This window comes from Homo sapiens, chromosome 11, assembly GCF_000001405.40.
Source record: "Homo sapiens chromosome 11, GRCh38.p14 Primary Assembly".
Classification (NCBI taxonomy): Eukaryota; Metazoa; Chordata; class Mammalia; order Primates; family Hominidae; genus Homo; species Homo sapiens.
The window spans coordinates 10,517,324-10,540,352 of NC_000011.10; the positions used below are offsets into that span (position 1 = coordinate 10,517,324).

Genomic DNA, 23,029 nt, shown 5'->3' on the forward strand with positions numbered 1-23,029 from the left:
GAAACCCAGAGAAAGACTCAAAAAAGAAAGAAAAAAATAGCACCAGTGAGCTGTGAGACAACTTCAAGTGGGCTAATACATGGTAATTGGAATCACAGGAGAGGGGAGAGAAGATAGAAAAAAATCTGAAAAAATAATGGCTGAAAAATTTCCAAATTTGATGACACCGTAAATCAACAAATCCAAGAAGCTCAATAAACCCCAAGCACAAGAAACATGAAAAAACTACTCTAAGGCACATCATAATCAAAGTGCTCAAAACCAGTGAAAAGAAAACAACCTTAAAAACAGAGGGAAAAAATGGCACATTACCTACAGAGGAAAAAAGGATGACAGAGTTCTCATTAGAAACAATGCAAACAAGATGAGTGTGAAGCAACATTATTAACATACTGAAAGAAAAAATACTCTCAAGTCTAGAATTCTGAATCAGAAAAAAAGTCTTTGAAAAATGATATTCGGACATTCAAGAAGAGCCTATGGAATCTACAAAAATACTACCAGAACTGATACATGAGTTTAATAAGGGCGCAGGATACAAGGTTGATATACAAATATCTATTGTATTTCCATATACTAGTATCAATCATAAATTGAAATTTTAAATACCATTTAAAATAGCATAAAACTATGAAATACTTGGGGATAGATGTCAAAGATATGCAACACTGAAAACTAAAAAAATTGGTGACAGAAATTAAAGAAGACCTAAATAAGTGGAGAAATATACAGCGTATGTGGATAGGAAGATGCACTAGTAAGAAATTCACTCTCCCTAAATTGATATATTTATTCAATGCAATCTCATATGCTGCTAGTGGGGGTGTAAAATGGCACAAGACTGCTTTGGAAAATAGCTGGCAGCTTTTTAAAAAGTTAAACACACACATACCATATGATCTAGCCATTCCATGTCTAGGTATTCACCCAAGAAAAAAACCAAAATACATCCATAAAATGACTTGTCCATGAATGTATCTAGTACCTTTATTTTGTAATAGATAAATATGGAAAATAATCTAATTTCCCTCAATAGGTGAATAAACAAGCTATGGTATCCACATAACAGACATTACTCAGCAATAAAAAGGCATGAACTATTGATACATGCTACAACATGAATAAATACCAAGGTAATTAGACTGAATGAAAGAAGCCAGACAAAAAAAGCACATATTATATGATTCCATTTATAAAAATTCATAACTTTTATGGGTGTGTATATATGCCAAAACATATTAAACTGTACATTAAATACATGTAGTTTATTGTATGTATTTTATAAATTATCCTAAACGCTCAAGTCTTATTTTGTAAAATAATGAACTTGACTAGCTGATCTCTAAAGTTCCCTGAGGTCCAGTATTCAAGAATTTATTCCTTCTAAACACATACACAGAATAAATGTAGAAATGAGGAGAAAAAAAGGAGGAAAAAGGGAAATGTTTGATTTTAGACTTAAGTCAGGCACAAATTTTCATACAGCAAAAGAAAAGTGTCAAAACTAAGGTACACCCCCATATTTAATAAATGTTAGGTGTAAAAACAAAAATAGTTTTAACCAGTAGAAGGCATGCCATAAAATTCAAAGTACTAAAGAATAAAATCTCTCTCATACTTAACTACAGTATTTTTGCACTTTTCAAAGTTTATTCATGTACACTATCCCACTGACCTTGGCCCAGCCCATGAATGCAGTAGGTAACTTACCATTTATCAATACACTTCTGACAAAAGCTGTGAGCACAAGGCAGGATGAGGTCAGCCCGCCCATCCATACAGATACAACACTCCTCCTCATCGGTCAGCTGCTTCACCCTGCAATGTGAAAACTGAGCTGAAACAATTATATTCTCTGTCATTATGCTTTATACTTTTTGTTGCTTTAAAAAGCATTATTAAACATCTATATGCCCACAGTATAAAGCACAATATGACTCATGTGCAAAATCAGACTAAAATTAATATTATCTTTTAGGGATAGCAAATATATTAGGGAAAAAGTATTAAGAGGGCTACATTTCATAAAGAAAGACTAGATAAAAGATACATTTTGTGATAAAGAAAACATAGGCAAAAGTGGAAATAGTCAAATCTTTCTGGAAACAATTTAGCCCATTTTAATCATATTGGACTTAAATAAACAAATTTAACCGATATAGTTATTGCATTAAAGACAGAGATACGGTCTGAGAAACTCATTGTTAGGTGATTTCATTGCTGTGTAAATATCATAGTGTACTTATACAAACCTAGATGGTTTAGCCTACTACTACATACCTAGGCTATATGGCATAGTCTATTGCTTCTAGGCTACAAACATATATAGCATGTTACTGTATGGAACACTGTAGGCTACTGTAACACAATGGTAGGTATCTGTGTATCTAAATGTATCTGAACACAGAGAAGGTACTGTGTAAATACGGTATACAAGATTAAAAATGGTACACCTGTATAGGGCACTTACCATAAATGGAGCATGCGGGCCTGGAAGTTGCTCTAGGTGAGTCAGTGAGTGAGTAGTGGTGAGTGGATATGAAGGCCTAGGACAGGAGTGTACAATCTTTTGGCTTCCCTGGGCCACACTGGAAGAACTGTCTTTCTTGGGCCACATATATACTAACACTAACACTAACAATATCTGATGAGCTAAAAAAATTGCAAAAAAATCTCATGTTTTAAGAAGGTTTATGAATTTGTGTTGGGCCACATTAAAGCAATCCTGGGCTGCATGCAGCCCGTGGGCCGTGAGTTGAACAAGCTTGGCCTAGGACATTACTGTATAGCACTTGTACAGTAGTGTACAGACTTTATGAACACTGTACATTTAGGCTATACGAAATTTATAAAAAATATATTTCTTCAATGATAAATTAATCTTTACTATAGATTTTTAACTTTATAAACTTTTTACTTTTAACTTTTTGACTCTTTTTGTAACAACACTTACCTTAAAACACACATTATACAGCTGTACAGAAATATTTTATAAGCTTTTTTCTATTTTTAAGATTTATTTACTTTTTTACTTTCTAAACTTTTTTCTTAAAAACTAAGACATAACACACACATTAGCCTAGGCCTAAACAGCGTCAGGATCACCACCATCACTGTCTTCCGCCTCCACCTCTTGTCCCACTGGAAGGTCTTCAGGGGCAGTAACATGCACGGAGCTGTCATCTCCTTTGATAACAATGCCTTCTGGAATACCTGCTGAAGGGCCTGCCTGAGGCTGTTTTACAGCTAACTTTTTTTAATAAGTAGAAGGAGTATACTCTAAAATGATTAAAAAGTATAGTATAGTATAATAAATGCATAAACCAGTAACATAATTATCAAGTATTACTGTACATAATTGTAAGTGCTATACTTTTATACTATGAGCAGCACAGTAGGTTTGTTTACACCAGCATCACCAAGAACATTTGAGTAATGCATTGCATCACAATATTAGGATGGCTACGACGTCCACAGGCAATAGGAATTTTTTAGCTCCATTATAATCTTGAGACCACCATCACATATGCAGTCTGTGATTAACCAAAACATTGTTAGGTGATACATGACCATATAATTTATTCACTATGTGTAACACAAAGCTCCCTAAAATATGGATCCTGCCATCAGGGCCTTACAATGCTGACATTGATAATGGGCATATGAGTGAAAGAATAGTTTAGTCTTAAGTATCAGGTGCTGTGAGAGATACAAAGGGAATAAAAAGCAGTTTCTGTCCTCCAGGAGCTCTTTCATCTTCTTGGGAAGAAAAAAGATTTCAAACCTTTTGCTCCAGCCACAATTCAGAGAGCCCCTGAATGAGCCATATACCTTTGCAGATGGTATTTTCCTTTCCTGAAACTGCCCTTGTGAGTTTAGTAAGCTCCAACCTTGGTAACTCAGCTCAAAACATCATCATCTCTCTGCTCTCAAAATCAACACTTGCCTCAATGAAAAGACTTAAATATTGCATATTGATTGGCTGGCCTTTCCATAAACTGTAAGCTCTTTGAATATAGGGTGTTTGTCTTAGATTCTCAATAAATGCTTCTTGAAGTGATTTTAATTTCTTTTAACCTTTGTGCTTTTTTGTAATTTTTAAGGTTTTCTTCATCAGACATGTATTACTTTTGTAATAATATAAAAACTGACTGTTCCAAAGTACAGCCACTAGACTATAAACTTCTTAAGGATAGGAGCTATCACTAATATGTTTTCCATTCCCTGTTGTGCTTATAGCACTGTATGTAAGATATTTAGATAGTACTTAAAATTTTGATTTGAATGTAAAAATAAATGTCAAATGTATATTAAATATAGTAAGTGCTAAGTAAAGAAGGAAGAGATGAATATATCTCAAACTTGTTGAAATGATGAGATAGAAAAACAATAGGATTTTAATAGAAGACATTCTAGGTGCATAAACAAAGTTGTAGAGGTAAAAAGCAAAATCATGTGTGTTTATGTCTGTGTATATGTAACCAGGAAGCTGGCATGATACTTGGGTATGGAAAACTGAGGAAAAAGATTGATTAGATAAAGTGGAGATAATCTCATCCTTAAATGTCAAAATATTAAGTTTGAACGTGTCCTGACAAGCAAACTACAATCAGTGTATAATCAAGGGGAAGTGAACTCCAACTGATATGGTACTTCAGGAAGATAAATTGGGAGTGCAGTATGAGGGACAGTCTAGAAAGAGGAAAACTGGTTAGGATCTTATTTCAGCAATTCATCTGAGAGATAATTAGGTCTAAGAAGCATTATAAAAGACAAATCTTTTATGTGGTAATAGATTAAGTGTTATACGTTAGTAACAGGGAAAAGAGGGAAGTCACTGAATTGGAATGGGAAAACTGAATAAAAACCTAGATGGATATGGGTCTAATGTATCTGAGTTTCTCAGTAGCAGAGAATATAACTGAATCTGTACAGAGTGAAAGAATATTCTGAAGGCTGGACTTTAAAAGTGAGAAGCAGAGGACTACAAAGAAGAGCATTGTGGAGAGAGATAAAAGAATGGGAGATACAGAAATAGCCAGTGGAACCAGTACAAAGTTCTCTTAACTTTTTGCTACCTTCTTAGCAGCACAGTGACCAGAAGGAAGGAGAGTCTTGTGCTGTTTGTTCCTGTTAGATCACCTGTAGATTGGAATATTTGGTTCTATGCCTCATACTCTGAAAGGCACACATACTGACAGAGAAAAGACCATCTGGGAAAGCCTCCAGTATGTAGACGAGACCCACATAAACAAAGGCCAAAGGAACTGGGGGTGTTTATCCTTGAGAACAGAAGGTTCAGTGAGAATTTGATGACTGTTTTCAAATATTTGAAAGGCTGGAAAAGAGAACAGATTTGTTTGGAGGAATTCCAGAGGGCACAGCCATTGAAAACAATAAATAGAATATAGTAACAATAATAATGACAGTTAACTCTTATAGACAAATTATTATGTGTCAAGCACTGTTCTGAGCATCTTATGTCTTTTAATTCTCTCAAAAATCCTATAAAGCATATACTACAGTTATCAACCTCTGTTAGAAGATGAGGAAACTGAGGAAACAGTTTGATTTGTCAAAAAAATCACACAGGAGTGGAGCCAGGATTTGAACACAGGCAACTTGCTGCTAGAGTCTGTGCCGTGCTGCCTCAAGAAAGATTTTGGCTACTCTGAGGAAAATGAAGCAATAGGAAAAACTTCATAGTGATTAGAGCCATCTGAGTATGAAAAGGCTTGCTTTTTTCAGGCAGTGAGTCTCACATAACTGCAGGTGTTACTTGTACTTGCAAGTCGGACTTGGCAAAATGTGGGTAAGCAGAGTCTTGCTATTCAAAGTGTTATCTGAGGATCAGCAGCATTGGCCCCACCTGGGAGCTTGACAGACTCTCAGGCTCCTCCTCAAAACCACTGAGTAATAAATTTTCAGAAGCTCTGTGTGCAAGATCTTTATGCACCATAAAGTAATAGGTTAGAGCACAGCTGTACTGCCAGACAGGCCTGAATGTGAGTCTTGGCTAGAACAATTTCTAATCATGACACTTACTTAGCTAAATCTCAGATTCTTTGGCTGAAATGGGCCGATAATTGTACTCCCATATGGGGTTGTGAGAATTTAATGAGTTTATACATGTACAACACTCATCACAATTCTATACCCTGTAAGTAATCAATAAATGTAAAACATCAATGGAATTATGCATCAGATGTAAAGTTCAACTACATAAATATCCCTTAAGACCTCCTTCAATTTAGAAAGTCTCTTTCTGTGAACTAGTGTATAAGGGTATTATTATAAACTGAAAAAACACACAAAAACAAGAAGCACCCCTAACAAGCTAATCAGGAACTGAATTTCCAGTTTTGAGGGCACATGAAAAGGGATAACACCTTTACCTTCTTCATTAAGAAGACTGTAACAAGAAAAAAACAATACTTTCTTTTCATGTGCTACCATACAGCTTAAATACATTGGCAAACACCATCCTCAGCTTTTAAAACAATTAAACAAAACAACAACCACTATTCTGGAGAGAAGAAAAGCAGAAAAATCAGATCCATCTTTGAAAGATTACAGAATACAGGAAAGACAAGCCTAAACACTGCCTACCATGTTCTAAAAGTCACTTGGCCTATCAGTAACACTTGTATAGACCAAACCTAGAAAACCAAGTAATTCTATTAAAGATAATTGGGAAATAATAAATGGAAAATACAGTTTAACTGTAACATAGTGCTTGAAAACCAGTTGGTTAAGAATGAACCAGAAAATGCAACTGTAAATAGAGCAGTAAAAAAAAAGAAACCACTGGCCGGGCATGGTGGCTCATGCCTGTAATCCCAGCACTCTGGGAGGCCGAGGAGGGCAGGATCATGAGGTTGGGAAATGGAGACCGTCCTGGCTAACACGGTGAAACCCCGTCTCTACTAAAAATACAAAAAATTAGCCGGGCGTGGTGGCGGGCGCCTGTAGTCCCAGCTACTTGGGAGGCTGAGGCAGGAGAATGGCGTGAACCCGGGAGGCAGAGCTTGCAGTGAGCCGAGATCGCGCCTGGGCGACAGAGCAAGACTCCGCCTCAATTAAAAAAAAAAAAATCACTGTTAAGTACATTCTTAACTTTAAGGTAAAGGACACGGTGAATATAGATTTCTGCTATCTACCCAGTATGACAGTAAGACAGGATGTCAACATGTTTGGACCCATGTAAATCTTTTTCCAATGAGATATTTACAAATTTAAATTATGATCATGATTGTCAAATGTCAAGAAGTGGGAACTTTCATGTGCCAAAAGCATAACAGAGAAGGAAAAGAAAGTTTAGATAGAACAATAATGTATTAGGCCTGGGTAAACAAACATCATCAGAGAAAACTCTGGCTGACTTCATTTCCTTCTGGTAACTAAGTATATGCATTCGGTTCCTTCCTGAATGGACTGCCAAGTCCTGAAGCCAATATATAAAATTTTAATGCTTCAATTAGACATTTTTTAAAAAAAGTGGGATGATTTTGCCAAATTCTTTGACCTAATTCCCTAAAAAGCTTTGACTGTCTAAGAACCTAAATACCTATTATAAGGAAGGTGTTAACTATCTCCTTTGTCAATAAATGCATGCATATAGAGCGGATTCCTGGAGACCAGTGTGACAGAAACATTAATATTAAAGTGGCCCTGCCAAGCCACTTTAATTTAGCACTGTAACAACATCCGAAGCACAGAATAACCCCAAAACTGATCTCAGATACAATACCAACTGAGAAAAAAAAAAGATTTAAGATGCTACAATGAGCAACAGCAAAAATATTAATAGATTTCAGTTGTTTTCATATTAGAAAATAAGTGAAATACAATACTTATGCATTATATACCTTCCCATCCAAAGACTAGCCTGACAAGATGTTACAGAGGATGAGTTTTCATCAGGTTCTTCAGAGGTGGAGCTCTGTGCCAATACTCCTGCTGCTTGACTTGTGATATCTTTATAAAGTTGAATAAACTGGTATAAATTCATGATCCGTGATGCCTCCACAATGCCACTGCTTTTGTTAATCTAAAAATACAAAGAACATGAAAAAGAAAAGTTGATCATTTCTCTGACCAATTTTTCCCAAAAAGGGGGAACAAATATTTAGTCAAACATCCTAGGAAATAGGAGTTTTCAGGATTTGCAAATTACATAAGAAAGCAAGAGTCTGAATAAATGAGTAATACCATGTCCCCTACACTTGTGGGGTTCAAACTTCTTATACAAATTTACCTCATTTAACACACAAAATCACCCTGTAAGATTAATTAGGCATTATGCTGTTGATGGGTAAGGTGACTTTCTCAGAGTTAAGAAATAAATTTTAGAGATCAGTATTAACAATTCTTTCACTTTAATTTCTTAAAGAATTTCTTAACCACAGGATTCATTTGACTCCAACAACCGCATGAGATTCTACAACTCAAACAAGTACTTTCTTAAATATCTTTAAGTTCTATTTTGTACCAAAACTTCTAAACTAAAGCAAGAAAATTACTTTAAAATAAATCCTAACAAAAGGTGGTTGGACTTTTCCCAGAAGGCCATTTTGAGCTTTATCAAAAAACTCGTTTAATATGAGGTGAAACCAGTGGCCCAAAGGTTGTACCTTTACAGGTTGTACCTCTCCCCCATCCAGTTTACAATCTAATGTAGAAGATACTTGGGGCAAGCAGAGGAGATTGCTTTCACAAGCTTTGGGGAGCCATGGAGTGAGGCATAATGAAATGACCGAGGCCAGTAAGGTGAAGGTATAATGTTCTTGGATGAAGAACTTGAAATCAGAGAAAGATTAGAGACATGAAAGACTTCCTTTCAGCACAAGACATAGGATGGAAGACTGGGGAAGAAGTAAGCCATGAAATCTATTAAGTGCATATCAGAGTAAGAACAAGCAAAATCAGAAAATATTTAGAAAGAAATGAAGAATATAGGGAGAGAGACAAAGACACAGGGCCATAAAATTGTGACTTTAGGTTCTGGAATGTATTGATGGAACTAGGGGTATCAGAAAATGAGGTAGATTACATATTTTAAAATATTATTATACATTTGAATATTGTAAATGAAAATAATAGTTGTAACACGTTTATTAATTGCTTACTATTTGAAAAGGCAGGGAAAAAAATACTGAGACTCAAGAATGAGTCATGCGGCCAGGCACGGTGGCTCATGCTTGTAATCCCAGCACTTTGGGAGGCCGAGGTGGGCAGATCATGAGGTCAGGAGATTGAGACCATCCTGGCTAACACGGTGAAACCCCATCTCTACTAAAAGTACAAAAAATTAGCTGAGCATGGTGGCACACGCCTATAGTCCCAGCTACTTGGGAAGCTGAGGCAGGAGAATCACTTGAACCAGGAGGCGGAGGTTGCAGTGAGCCGAGATGGCGCCACTGCACTCCAGCCTGGGCGACAGAGCAAGACTACGTCTCAAAAAAAAAAAAAAAGAATGAGTCATATACCATACTAAGAAATTTTAGAACCATCTCTAATAATCAGAAAGTTGATTAAATTTTGGGAAGGTAAAATCTATCTGGAGATGCAAATATACAAGGTTCTTTGTACTAAAAGACTGTACATGAGGTAGAGAATAAACAGAATTAAAAAGTAACAGGAATTTAACAGGCTTACAAAATAGATCTTCAGAGCTGAGGAAACGGGTAGTCCTTTGGAACTGCATAGTACAGAAGAAATTATGGAATAATCCATATAAGGTCAGTACAGAAATAGCAAAGTGTATCACACTGTAACTATTCTCATCATAGGATTCCTGAAACAAGTATTTATTGAGTACCATTATGTGGATGTTATTGGTACTATGTGCACTGCTCTAGGCACTAGCCACAGTGTGTATAAAACAAAATCCCTGCCCTCAAGCAAGTTACATGATAGGTAGGAGAGACAGGCAAATAAAATACAGATACAGATTAGGTTAGATGAAAATAAGTGTAATGGAGAAGATGAAACAGGGGAGAAGGAACGCTGAGGGGTTACAGGGAAGGCCTTACAGAGAAGTTGACATTTAAGAACTGAAAGGTGCAGAAATGAGTCATATAGATGTCTAGGGGGAAGATCATTCCAGGCTGAGACAACAGGAAATACAAAGGCTGTTTAATAGAGGTGTACCTGGCAAGGAGCACAGAGAGTCTCACAAGAAGCCCAGAGTGTTTGGAACAGAGTGACAGACGGACAGAGGAAGGAGTGGTAGATAGACGGTGAGGTGGGAATAGAATATATAGGACTTTGCTGATTTCAGTAATAACTGTAGCTTTGATTCCAAGTGCATGAGAAGTCACGGGGGGGGGTTTTGAGCCAAGGAGTAATATGATCTAATTTACATTTCAAATTGTGATGTGGAATAGGCTGGTTGTTGTGCTTGGAATAGACTGCTTGTTGTGCTGAGAATAGACAGAAGCAGGGCAAGAGAAGCAGGGAGATCAGTTAGGAGGCTACTGGAATAATCCTGGTGATAGAGGATGGTCACTAGGAATAGGGTGGTAGTAGCGTAGATGGTGAGAGCTAGCCAGATTCTGAATACATTTTGATGTGACAGGACTCACTTACAGATTGTCAGGTGTGAGAGACAAAGAAAAGCCAAGAATGACTCTAAGAAGTTGGTCTAAGAAAAAAGAAGGATGAAATAATATAATTCATGTAGTTCTTAACAGCCACCTTAGTACCTAGTTTTTAATTAATCTCTTATTTTTCTAATATTATTTCCATAAAATATTCCATTTAAACATAATTTAGATCATTTTTTATAGTGGATTAAATATTATTTAAGGATAATCATAGCAGATGGCAGAGAGTCAAGAAAAAGACTTAATGTAAATACAGAGGGTTAAAGTACAATTTTTTTAAAGTTGTTTAACATTAAGAAATGTGAAACTCTCAATCTCCTATCAGTTTTTCATGGTGGACTTGACCTCTTTCTAACATAAACACTGACCTCTCAGATTCTTTCAGAAAGAACCTAAGGAATGCAAATAAAAAAATTTCTTTAGAGTAGCTCTAAAATCAAGAAAAATCACATGAAAAAATATCTAATTGCCTGTGCCTTTAGTACTTTTGTTTCTCTACTTAGAATCTTATTTTAAGGAAGATGTTTAATCACATACAGATGTTAGACATATTGAGGCAAAAAGGAATTTGACTACTAATAAAATTAAACCTTAAGTCTGTATTTGTCAAAGAGCAACAAAAAACGAAGGGATGAAAAGCCTGATATATTCGTATTCCCTTAGCTTTCTACAATTTATATTGGCCTCTTCAATGTGAGCTGAGTACTTTATGAAATAAAAATGAACATTAAGTGTAATTTAGATAATATACTGTGTCAATAAACAAGGAAAGCTTCAACCTATCCCAGTCATTTAAAAAGAGAGTATTATTTCAACAGATTTTTTTTGTTCACTTAATATATACTGAGTTCCTACTATGTGTAAAGCACCGTATTACAGCCTGTAAGAGATACAATAATGAATCTAGACATAGTTCCTGCCCTCAGGAGCTTACTCTCTAAAGGGGAGCTAAGAACCTAAACAACTTTTTTCGTAATGCAGTATTATAAAGTATAAATAATGTGCTGTTGGAATCTGGAAGAGACAAGAGAACTCCTATTCAGGAAGACTTAATGGATGAGATGGTATTTGAGGTGGACCTTTAAAGAGACATCAGGTTTAGAGATGCAGAAATAAAAGGTGTGGCAGAAACTACTGGCTGATTATCCAAATACCATTCCTTCTTTTCATTGCCAGCAGAACCTTATTTTGTTTTTGTGTCCACCATTCCCTGAAATGATGCAGGAGTCAATCCTGGTTAGTCTAATCTAAACCAATCATGCTAATCATATTCCCTCTGTCAGTGTAGGTGTATGAAGGGGATATGACCCAATACTGACCAGTGAGTTCAGAAGTGACATCTGCTGGGTCTTTAATTTAACCAATCCTGCAGTTAGTCTATAGAGTTAGGATTTCTTGATAAGTGAGAAAATAAGTATTGTTTTTGTTTAAACTGGTTTAACAGGAATTTTCCGTGACTTCCTAATGGAAGGAATGGACATCCTAGTTGAGAAAACACAATAAGCAGAAGCACTGAACTGGAAAAGAAAAGTAACAATGATACAGTCTTAAGTTAGTTAAGCCTGATAAGAATGCAGAGCAAAAGAAGGTCATTGTGACTAATGCAGAAAAGATAGTTTGGAGTCATATTGTAGGAGTTGGGACTATTTGGTAGGCAAGAAGGAATTACTGAGGAATTTTAAGCAAGGCAGTAATCTGATGCGAGTTGTGCTTTAGAAAGGTTAATCTCACAGCAGCATAAATTAGAATTTGGAGAAGAGTCTAGAAGTATAGAGATTAATACAAAATCTGTGATAATCTGGATCAGAAGAGAGAGATCAGTCTGCTTGAGAGCATGAAATCTGTCTTATTTATCATATATTCCTAATGCCTCTCACACTTGTGCTCAAATGTTTATCTGAATAAACTGGAAGCAAAACACAGTATGGGTAAAACTGACAATCTACTGAGGAAATAAGGCATATTATTTGGGTAACCTCCAGGGTCCGTGACTCAAAGGAAAAATCTCCTAACCCAGGGAATCTTTATGGGTCAGTCGGGAATGAACTTCAGAGCGCTCATGAATGCCCAATTTATGGTTTATATGCATATGGATGATTTTGTTCTTTGTTTTAGAGCCGGGGTGGGGATAGGAGGTGGCCTAATAAAATTCATGCCTTCATTTAATCAAAAGGTTTGTAGCCTCAAAAAGTTAAGAACTTTCTATCTGAATCTACTCAGTGGTGGTTGAGGCTTTCTAATACTCAATGACAGCTGGCAAAAAATCTATCCCATAACTAAAAATTACTAAAAAACAAAAAAACTCTTTCAATGGATCTTTTTTCTTTTTAATGAATGAATGTATTCTTAAAAGAAATGATCTCAAGATAACATTAATTTTTAAGGTATCATCTTAGAGCTAAATAGGATGTCACCTTAGCATTCCACAGCCAGCTAAAAACCCAAAAACAGAGATAGAAGATTAGTATGATGTAATGGTTAGAGATATTGAGGCAAAAAAGAATTTGATTATAAAAACCCCTGCTGTATAGCAATTAGACAACTGTAAGATTCAAACAGCTAGTTAGAAGGCAATAACAGTAACAAAACTATGTTTTACAAAACCACCGAGTTATTAAAATGTATATGCATTATATTATCTTACAGTATTAAATATAGTTCTAGCCACCAAAATAGCTTAAGCTCAGAGGTAGAAGTCTCCATCAGTCTCACCTTGGTACAGACCACCCGTACAACCACTTTCCAAAAAGCAGAGGAATCAGACCCAGGTTGTACCTCAAAGAGAAGATGTTTTTCCTGGCCAGAAGCCACTTTAGCCGTTCTGAAAAGAGACAAGAACATGTTAATTTTATGAAAAATCATATATTAATAAAATAATACAGCCATGAAACTAGATTCAAGAAACAATTTCAGAGAAGGAAATATGAAGAAACACAAAAAGACAAATAATAATGATTATAATAACTGGATTCTTAAAACAGGGATAGAGAATATTTTGAACATAAACATGCAACTTAATTTCTAAGGTTTTTAAAGTCAACAGCTTGGTGGCATGATATTTATAAATCTCTCTTTGTCACACCTATATCTCAATGGTCTTTAAATTTCTAACAAAGACATTTAGGAAAAACAAGTCTTAGAAATCAGGGACTTAAAAAAAAGGTTGGCCAGGGCAGTGGCTCACACCTGTAATCCCAGCACTTTGGGAGGCCAAGGCAGGCAGATCACGAGGTCAGGAGTTCGAGTCCAGCCTGACCAACATGGTGAAACCCCGTCTCTACTAAAAATACAAAAATTAGCCGGGCGTGGTGGCGTACACCTGTAATCCCAGCTACTCAGGAGGCTGAGGCAGGAGCATTGCTTGAACACGGGAGGTGAAGGTTGTAGTGAGCCAAGATCACGCCATTGCACTCCAGCCTGGGCGACAGAGTGAGACTCAGTCTCAAAAAAAAAAAAAAGGTTAGCTAGTGTCATTTATCAAAATTTTTTGACTGTTGCCTCAGACGTATATAAAGCATGAAAAACATCTTGCTCTTGGTTCAGTCCTTGTTCAAACAATGATACTAACAAACCTCTTGAAAATTTTTGTTCAGATAATTTGGGGCTACATCAAGTAAAACAAATGATTTGAGACACTTTATATATAGCTCTACTGTCCTCCCCTAGCAGAGTAATTTTAATTTAGAGAGCTAAAGGATTTAAACATAAAAATGTATCACTTCTAGAAGATAATTCAATATCATGCTATCAACATTAATTTAAATCAGTTCGAAGACATGCTTAAGTATTGCAGTTCCCTTTTATCATTACTAACAACTCTCTCTGAGCACCAGTGGGGATATCACACTCAACTAACAGCTAAATAAAATGAGGCCATCGAAAGTTAAGCAACTAGCCTTAGGAAACAAAGTCTTCGGTGAAAATAATTCAGCCGTGCCAGTTTCCAGCTCTGTTTTCTAGCTGCCAAGCTTCGTCCTGTATAGGTTTAATTCTACAGTTCTCGGAGATCACTGCACGTCTGAAATGCCAATTCTGACCCATGGAAATTGGTTTTAAGAATCAAATCCAGTCAGAAATATCCTGTGCTAAATAAATAAAAGGAAGACCTCTGTATCACACAGTAAGCTTAGTTTGTGGATGGTTTTATAGGGTACATTTTATCTAATACCTGTATCTTTATGCTAAAGGGCAAAACTTCATACAATAGACAGGGTTTATGAATATAAATTCCAAGACTCTAAAGGAATGGTAAATGTCATTGATTACTGCTCATAAGAGTTGAAAATATAAACATAACAAAGCATTCCACTCTTATGTTACTAAATTCAGAATCCTATTTTTAAAATTCTTTAAGAATATAATCCCAGAATTAATGCTTTGCACACTACCCTTTGGATAATTTTTAAAAATAAGTAAAATGCTAGAGTTTTTAAAACCAATGACTATATTTTTATCATAAAAATACATAAATACACACAGTAAAATGTAAAATCTCCCTCTCTGCCCCCTTTTCCCACCATCTCCCAACCGAGAGACAAGCACTGGGAATAGTTTAGTTCATTTTCTACACACACACACACACACACACACACACACACACACACACACCCCACAACTATATACAGCTTTTTGTTTTATATTGTTTTGTTTTAATGAATGAAATCCAATCTTCTTAAAAGAAACCATCTTCTAAGATAACTTTTAAGACAGTCTTTATTCTTCCCAATAAAGACAGTATGTCTTCACATAAAGACAGTATATCAAGCTTATCTAATATGTTACAGATTGCTAAGCATGTCTCTTATCACCTAACACCATGGTTGTAATGCCTACGGAGTGGGTTCATATATCTTACCTTAAACTATTAATAGTGACTACAGTACTGTAAGTTTATATACTAAGTGGTCCTGAACTGCTAGTCGATTTCATTCAGCCTTTTTAGGGTTTAAGGAGAGGTAATATGGGATAACAGGAAAACTGAGATTCAGAGAGGTGGACATGCCATTAATACCTGCGTAATCAACTTGGCCCTCAGTTAAAAGGTCCAATCCTTAGCAGAGGGCCTTGCACATACTATGTGCTTAGTGAATGTTAGCTAAGTTGAAGAGACTAAACAGAGAACCTTTAAGATCTCATTTAAGAGGTGACTCCACAGGTTCTAATTATACTCCCAGGGGTTAGAAGATATACATAAATAAAGGTAGATGTGGATGTTGCTAGAGGCAGATTTAAAAGAAAGATATGACATCTGCCCAATTGTCACCAAGGGAGAAAATAAATAGCAAAAAAGTCATATTTTAAAAGCACAGTGGTCTGGGGGCATTCAGGAACAAAGAGCCCTATATATTTTCATAGCTTCTACATAGATCAATACCAAAATTGATAAATAAATTAACAAATAGAAGACTAAGTTGTATTAGGTGTACTCTTTAAGAAGGCAGAGAAATTTATATTTCATTTTAGAAATTTAGTCAAAGAGTTAAGTAGAAATTTAAAGGTGTTAATTAATTAGAAAATATGAATAAATGAAATATATTATTTCTCAGTGATGAAAATAAGCTATTACTACATATGTATTCCTCTAGCAAAATGATGACACAGTAAAAAAAAGTATATATATATATGCATGTGTGTGTCTATATACACACACACATGAATGAATTGCTTCATGTACAGAAACCTTCTCAGTGTTACCTTTGACTATCCTAGGAGTCTTTCTCTAGAGTGGCTAATTCTCATATTCCATTTTGTTATGCACCCCTTTAGTGCTTTCAAACAAGAGTCTATTGGTATAAAATTGAGATGCTGGGATGTACTACTGTATCCTAGAATTGCTTCAATATGCCTGTGCTGTGTTCCAAGTTCCATTTTAAGTTCTTTCCATATCTTCTGTCCCCATTACATACTTTTAAAAAGCTACATAGAAAGTCAACTTATAATAGATACTCAATAAGTATTTGTTAATGCTAACTGAAAACATTAAGTCTTACCAATCAACACCTCTGGTTATATCTTACACAGCCATGACATATGGGGCATACATACAACAAGGGGAAAAACGAAAAACAAAAAGAGCAAGCCTTACACATCATTAAGCTCAGCTACTCTCCCAAGAAATTCTTCATAAGTTAAGGAGCCACTCTCTCGAACCAACGTAACATGTTTTGCTACTTTTTCTGGTAACTTGTTAATAACCAACTGTGTCTGATCCGAAATTTGCTGTCCCATGATGAAAAGATGTCTTTCAAAATCCAGAGTGTTGCTTCACATAGTTTCTGTCAAATATACAGAAAAGTTACTTTTACATATTATACAAAAACGGCAATATACTCATTCTTCAAAAACATAAAGAAAAACTAGGGATACCTTTAAGTGAGAGTTGAGTAGACCTACATGAGTCTAAGGTAGAATTTAAATGACTCTGTTTTCAGATTCACATAGCTAAATGAGAAAACAGGATTCACTTATATATTATTGGGAGGGTGATGAACCTCTAATTCTTATAATTTTACCAAGTCAAAAACCACTAAAGCACATGTGCATGTGTACACACACACACACACACACACACACGCATTCAAGTAATTGTATTTAAGAGGAAGTTTGTCTACCTTCTATAATTTTCCTAAGAACATTTCCTGACTGCTTACCACATGTCAGGCTCCAAACTGTTTTCCGTATATTATGTCAATTACTTCTTACAACAATCCTAAGAGGTAGACAATATTACACCCCTACCTATTTCCCATAGACAGGGAAACTGAGCTAGGTGATTTATCTAAAGTTACACAGCTGTAAGTGGTGAAAGTGAACTCTGAATTTGTTTTTCAGATTCTAGTACTTACATTCTTATCCACTATGACATACTGGCTCACAATATATTTACATCAGCTAAATAATTTTTTGTTGAATTACTTTATTTATAGATGTGTACCTTAGTTTTAATTTTTAAAAATATATAAAAAGACTTGTGGCTTGAAAAACCTAAGAAAATTAAAATGTTAGATATTTTAACCACCTCACATTTTCTGCCTGGAAAAAGATAGCTCTTTTGTTCATTAACTCTTTTAGGTACCCCCAAAATATATATCTAATTATCAAGTTTTTAAATGCCCCCAAAATCAGATGCCCCCCCAAGAAATTCTATTTTATTTATCCATCAAAGACTATCATTTTATTTCATCCAAATTAACAACCATATCACATAAAGCAGGTGAAACAGTAATACTCTTATAGAAAAAGTTTTGGTAGGAAGATTGCTTTATCATTAATCAAAAAATAAAGCTATAAATTTAAAATATATATAACTTTATGAAGTTAGTAACCCCAAAATATGTAAAATTTCCTTTAGGTATTAAAATTTAATGTACTGTATTTGAAGTTAATTCCTTTAGTTACCTAAAATAGGAAAAGGACAATTGTAATTTAAAAAAAAAACAAAAAACAACAGTTTTGAATCTGAGCCTACTTGGTAATAATAAATATCACATTATAGAGATAAATGAAAGGAAGTTGTTGAGGAAGATCCAGGCCAAAAAAAAAAAAAAAAATCCCTGAAGTCAAATTATATGTAAATATAGCCAAGTGGATTTACAGCAACTGTATCCAAGAAGAAACAATTAAAGATCTTAGCTTAGAAGAGGTCTCTAGGGCAGTCAACAACAGTGATTGCTGAATTTCAAAGACTAGTAAAATCTCAAAGCACCATGGTGTTGGATACTTCTTTTAATTCTAAGCAAGGACAGTTTCCAAAAATAAACAAAAATTCCCCAAAACTTAACAAAAATCTCAAAAAGAACTTATAACCTGAAAAGTAGGATATAATATTAGAAAAAAAGTCTTTCCCAAGAAGGGCAGTAACTTCACAATGAGGTATACCACATATTTACCAGGTATACTACACATTGTCCTTATTTTTCTTGATCGAATCCAAACTTATGAAAACATCATCAGAAGCCAAGGGTTGCAGACTGGTATTAGGGAGCCACTGTGTTACAGGACTTTTTTAAAATTAAATTCAACAAGTAGCACGTGCCTGGTGCTTATGTTCTGGAGATAAAACAGTGAACAAAAGAAACATGGTTCTTGCCACTGTGGAGCATCCAATACAGTGGAGAAGAGACAGTAACCACACAAATAAATGTATAATTACAAAATGAGAAGTGCTAGGTGAACAAGTACAGGTGCTGTGAAAGCCTATAAAAGGGGGACTTGACCTAGTTTTGTATCAGGGAAGAAGTCCCTGGGCAAACAACATTTTACTTGAGGTCAGAATGGTCAGAGTTAGGGATTAAAAAAAAAGTAGGGAAATGGCAAAAGGAGGACACTCCAGGCAGAGGTTATGAAAAGTGCCTGAGACAGGAAGCAGCACGGTGACTTTGAGGTAATTTTTAAAAAGGCCACAAGGACTAAAGCAGAGAGGCAAAGGGAGAGGGAAACTGGCACCAAGAGTTGGGCTGTTTAACATTTTTGTTGATGACCTGAAGACTGTATGCCTGCCCAATCTGCGGATGACCAAAACTGGAATAAATGAATATTATCTAGTGAATAATAGGATCAAGACTAAAACAGACACTTACATGCTATTTAATATGACTAAAAGTTATATCCTGAAGAGCCAACTGCACAAAAACACATATGTAAGATGTGCTCAAAAGCAGTTAAAATACAGAAGGTCTGGGTTTTTGTTTTTGTGTTTTTTAAAGAGATGGAGTCTCTTTAAACAAACAGAGTTTGTTGCCCAGTCTGGTAACAAACTCCTGGGCTCAAGCAATCCTCCCGCCTCGGCCTCCCAGGCCGAGGATTACAGGCATGAGCTGCCGCACCCGGCCAAGTCTGGGGTTTTTAATCAAAATAAGTCAACAGTATAACGGGGGCAACAAGTATGCTAAAATAATCCTAAACTCTTGCTAGAAGCAGGTATCTTGAGCAAGCAGCCTACTAGTCCATTATGCTTTGCAATGGTTAGGCCACACTGAAAAGTCTGTATTCAGCTCTAAGCAGTTGGCTTTAAAGGATACTAATAAATTAGAACATATTCATGGGCATAGAAAAAAAAAGAGGTTTATTCTAGATAGTCATAGTTTGGTAACAATGAAGCAATATAAGTTTGTTTAAATATCTGAGGAGCTGTCATGTGGAAAAACAAGATTCATTTACAGAGAATGGGATGGCCACTAAGTATAGTAAGTATAAATTAGAAAGGCAGATTTCAGTTGATGATAAGCATGTCGCACCATCCAGAAGTGGAAATGGCTGCTACATGTGAGCTCCCTCTCATTGGAAGTATGGAAGTGTTTAGGTAAAGATTAGAAGTACATCTAATAAGTGTTACAGGGATTTTTACCTGGGTGGGAAGTGGAGTAGGTGACCTTTAACCTAACATTTTATTCCCAAAATGAAACTGAACCTTCCTCTAACATTCCTGTACCAATTTAATGAAAATGTAATTAAGATTCTAGTCAACCAGGCTGAAAACTTTGAATAATATCTACATTACTTAACAAAGAAAAAAACTGAACTTTTGAAATATATAGTCTCAATATTTAATATAAATACCTATGATAATTTAACCAACGTGGTATAGGGGAGATAGAATTTCTCTCCCTCTGCTCTCTGAGGTCTCCAGCTGGGCCCAAGAATTAAACTAACCTAAGACAGATTAACAGGAGAAAAACACACAAATTTTATTTAGTAATTTTTATACATACACAGGAGCCCTCAAGAAAAATAAGGACTAAAAAAAGTAATTAAGGCCAAAAGCTTACATAGTAGATTGGACAAAGGAGAAGTAAACTGTGAAAACATGACAAGACACAAGGGTTTGGGCTGGGCCAGTTAATCACAGAAAAGTGACTAGGAAGATAAGGGTTACTTTAAGAAGGCTTCTTTGAACACATTTCTCTCAGCTTTGATTGCCCACTTCTAGTAATGATAATGTCTTCCTCCTGGCATAGAGAGGACATCTTTCACATGGCTGTTTTATCTCCAGCCTTCAGGAAGAATTAGGAGGGTCAGTGGGCACTTCTTACATCTGCTGCTTTTCAATGTGCTTTTAACTCAAAATAATCCTTATGCCAAAGTGGCGTATTTTGCTACCCTACATTACCCACCAAAACCATATTTCAAAAGAAGAGTTAGTTGCTTATTTATTGAGTTATTAATAGAAAATGATCCCCTTTGTTTCAGCATTGTTTTCATCTGCTGCCCTAACTTTGAGTAAAGTTTATAATTTGAGGCAGCATATTAACTTGTTATCTTGTAACTGTACTTGGTATCTGGGAAACTTCATCACTAACTCCTTGCATTAAAATGCAACAGTATCTAGAGACTACCTGAGAGAGCCTGCAGAAGTGGTTTTCAACCTGGTTCCAGAAAGAGGGCTTGACATTTAGTTTATTTTGAAAACCATAAAATATTGATAAATATTAACATCTATCACTATATGGGTGTGAAAATAAGATATGACTCTGTGATCTGCATACAATATAAAACCACAACACAGAGTGCATGTTCACGAAAACAATCTGTTGAGGCCATCCTCTAGTCAACCACCACAGCTTTTCAGTGTCCCTCTTTGGTGACTGCACATATTTCTATCATACTATGACATTCGTTAAGTCACTTGGCCATTTCCCTCTAGTGAGCTTCTTGAGGACAGCAGCTATGGTCTGTCTTCTGGCAGATACACAAGCACTCAATAGATGTTTACTGAATAAATGCAGTAAATACCATTGGCAGTTTTTGTTTTATTATTATTCACTTAGTATTCTTTTGACTTTTGTTAATTTGGTCAGTCATCTATTAGTACTAGGTTGGAGAGAAGCAGAAGTTAAAAATATGTATGAAAGAAAATGTAAAACTGTGAAAATCTGTCATTAAATTAATGCTTATGTAAACTGGGAAACATTTACTATTTGATTTTAACAAGATACTCCCCCCTAGGCCATGCAACAGTGGTATTGCATAGAAACATAATTTGCAAACCACTGGCACAGAATTCAACAAAAGATGAATTTCTGGTCAAGATTTCTCAAAGAACTAGCAGCTCTCATATTATTGTGCCACCTATAACACAGTCATTTTTTGCAAGATAAAAATATGCTTTCAAAAAGCATTTGAAGGATTTTCTAAATAAAGAACTGTTATTTTGAAATGCACAAGATCAAGGATTCCAAAAATGCCACATTCTCTAGTGGGTGGTACATAGTGAATCACTTATTTTTCTAACAAATGAATTGTGGAAGTTCAAATATTCCTTATAAAAATATTAAAATTACATCATGGGTAACTGGCAAAGCAAAAACGAAAAAACTGCTCAAAAACTCCTAAAAATTTAAACCATAATTCATTCATAAAATAACTAAAGCAAAATGGAAAAGGCTGAAAATGCACCAAAATGACTAAATGACAAGTACTGCACTGTAGTATTTTAAAAACCTCTCTGAAACCAGTTCTCCATCAAATTTTGTATCAACCTCACCTAAAAGGATTTAATTGAAATAAACATCAATGATTTTCACTGTCAAGTCAACTTTAACATCAGTAATAAATACCAAGTACTACTGACTGGGTCCCTAAGGATATTATTTACTTTATTACTCATTGTTTACTCAAACTGTAGATCTGTAAACAGATATCAACTTTTTTTTTTCAAGACAAGTTAATATAGATACATAGTGAAATAATTAGGCCAGAGTCACTATAGAGTCCAGAATGCCTGTTCCAGAATCAAAGATCTTGATCAGAAAAAGATACATACATATATATTAGAGAGAGAAGGAGAGAGAAACTACAAAAGGATAGAGTGCCGTACTAGGAGATTAAGAATATGGATTTCTCACAGTAACAGTGTGTTTACTAAATGCATTTCATATTGGAAAAAGCATATTAGACTTGTAAGAATTCTCTCTGGACCTCCCTTGCCTTTTTGGGAAGGAAAGCGTGTTTGTATTTAGATGGGAACCAAGAAGGATCAGGCTACACACATCGAATATAAAGTTCATTTACACCAAATGACAAATATTAATTTTTGAAACATATAGTCATATTCTTGAGAAAAAGTTCTAGAAACTGAAGTCAGGCAATGTGAAAGAAAAGGATAAAAATCCATACTATTTTTGAGCTCTGAATTCAGAAAGCATCACTTCTCAGACGGGTGACTTCGACATGGAGGTGACTAATTTAGGATCGTCGGCCGGTGGCAGCTCATGCCCCCAGACAAAATTCTGAATGGGTAGAGGTCATTTTATAGCAAGAAGAATGGGCAGAAGGGAGTGAAAACGAATAAATTCGTGCTGAAGATGTAAGAATTATAAACAATTGAAAGTGTTCCAGCAGCTTTATATATATGCCAGAGGCAAGAACTGAATTAGCTGGCACCGCTAAATAGGACAGTGTCAGAATATAAAAGGTACACTACC

At 35.5% G+C, this 23,029-nt stretch overlaps 1 protein-coding gene across 1 annotated transcript in view, besides 1 other annotated feature; it reads right to left on the bottom strand.

The window, feature by feature from the left end:
• Positions 1 to 23,029, bottom strand: part of RNF141 (ring finger protein 141) — a 29,515-nt gene that overhangs the window by 5,651 nt on the left and 835 nt on the right. The window contains exons 2-5 of the mRNA NM_016422.4: positions 16,693 to 16,882; positions 13,320 to 13,428; positions 7,869 to 8,050; positions 1,711 to 1,818 (exon numbers count right to left, since the gene is read on the bottom strand). Coding sequence (NP_057506.2) covers positions 1,711 to 1,818; positions 7,869 to 8,050; positions 13,320 to 13,428; positions 16,693 to 16,835 — 542 coding nt within the window. The 5' untranslated portion in view covers positions 16,836 to 16,882. The remainder of the gene's footprint in view (positions 1 to 1,710; positions 1,819 to 7,868; positions 8,051 to 13,319; positions 13,429 to 16,692; positions 16,883 to 23,029) is intronic.
• Positions 9,972 to 10,031: an enhancer, noted in NCBI's record as "active region_4437". NCBI's record gives its function as "activates an Ori minimal core promoter by ATAC-STARR-seq in GM12878 lymphoblastoid cells {active_cell/tissue: GM12878}" and the evidence as "EXISTENCE:reporter gene assay evidence [ECO:0000049][PMID:35858748]".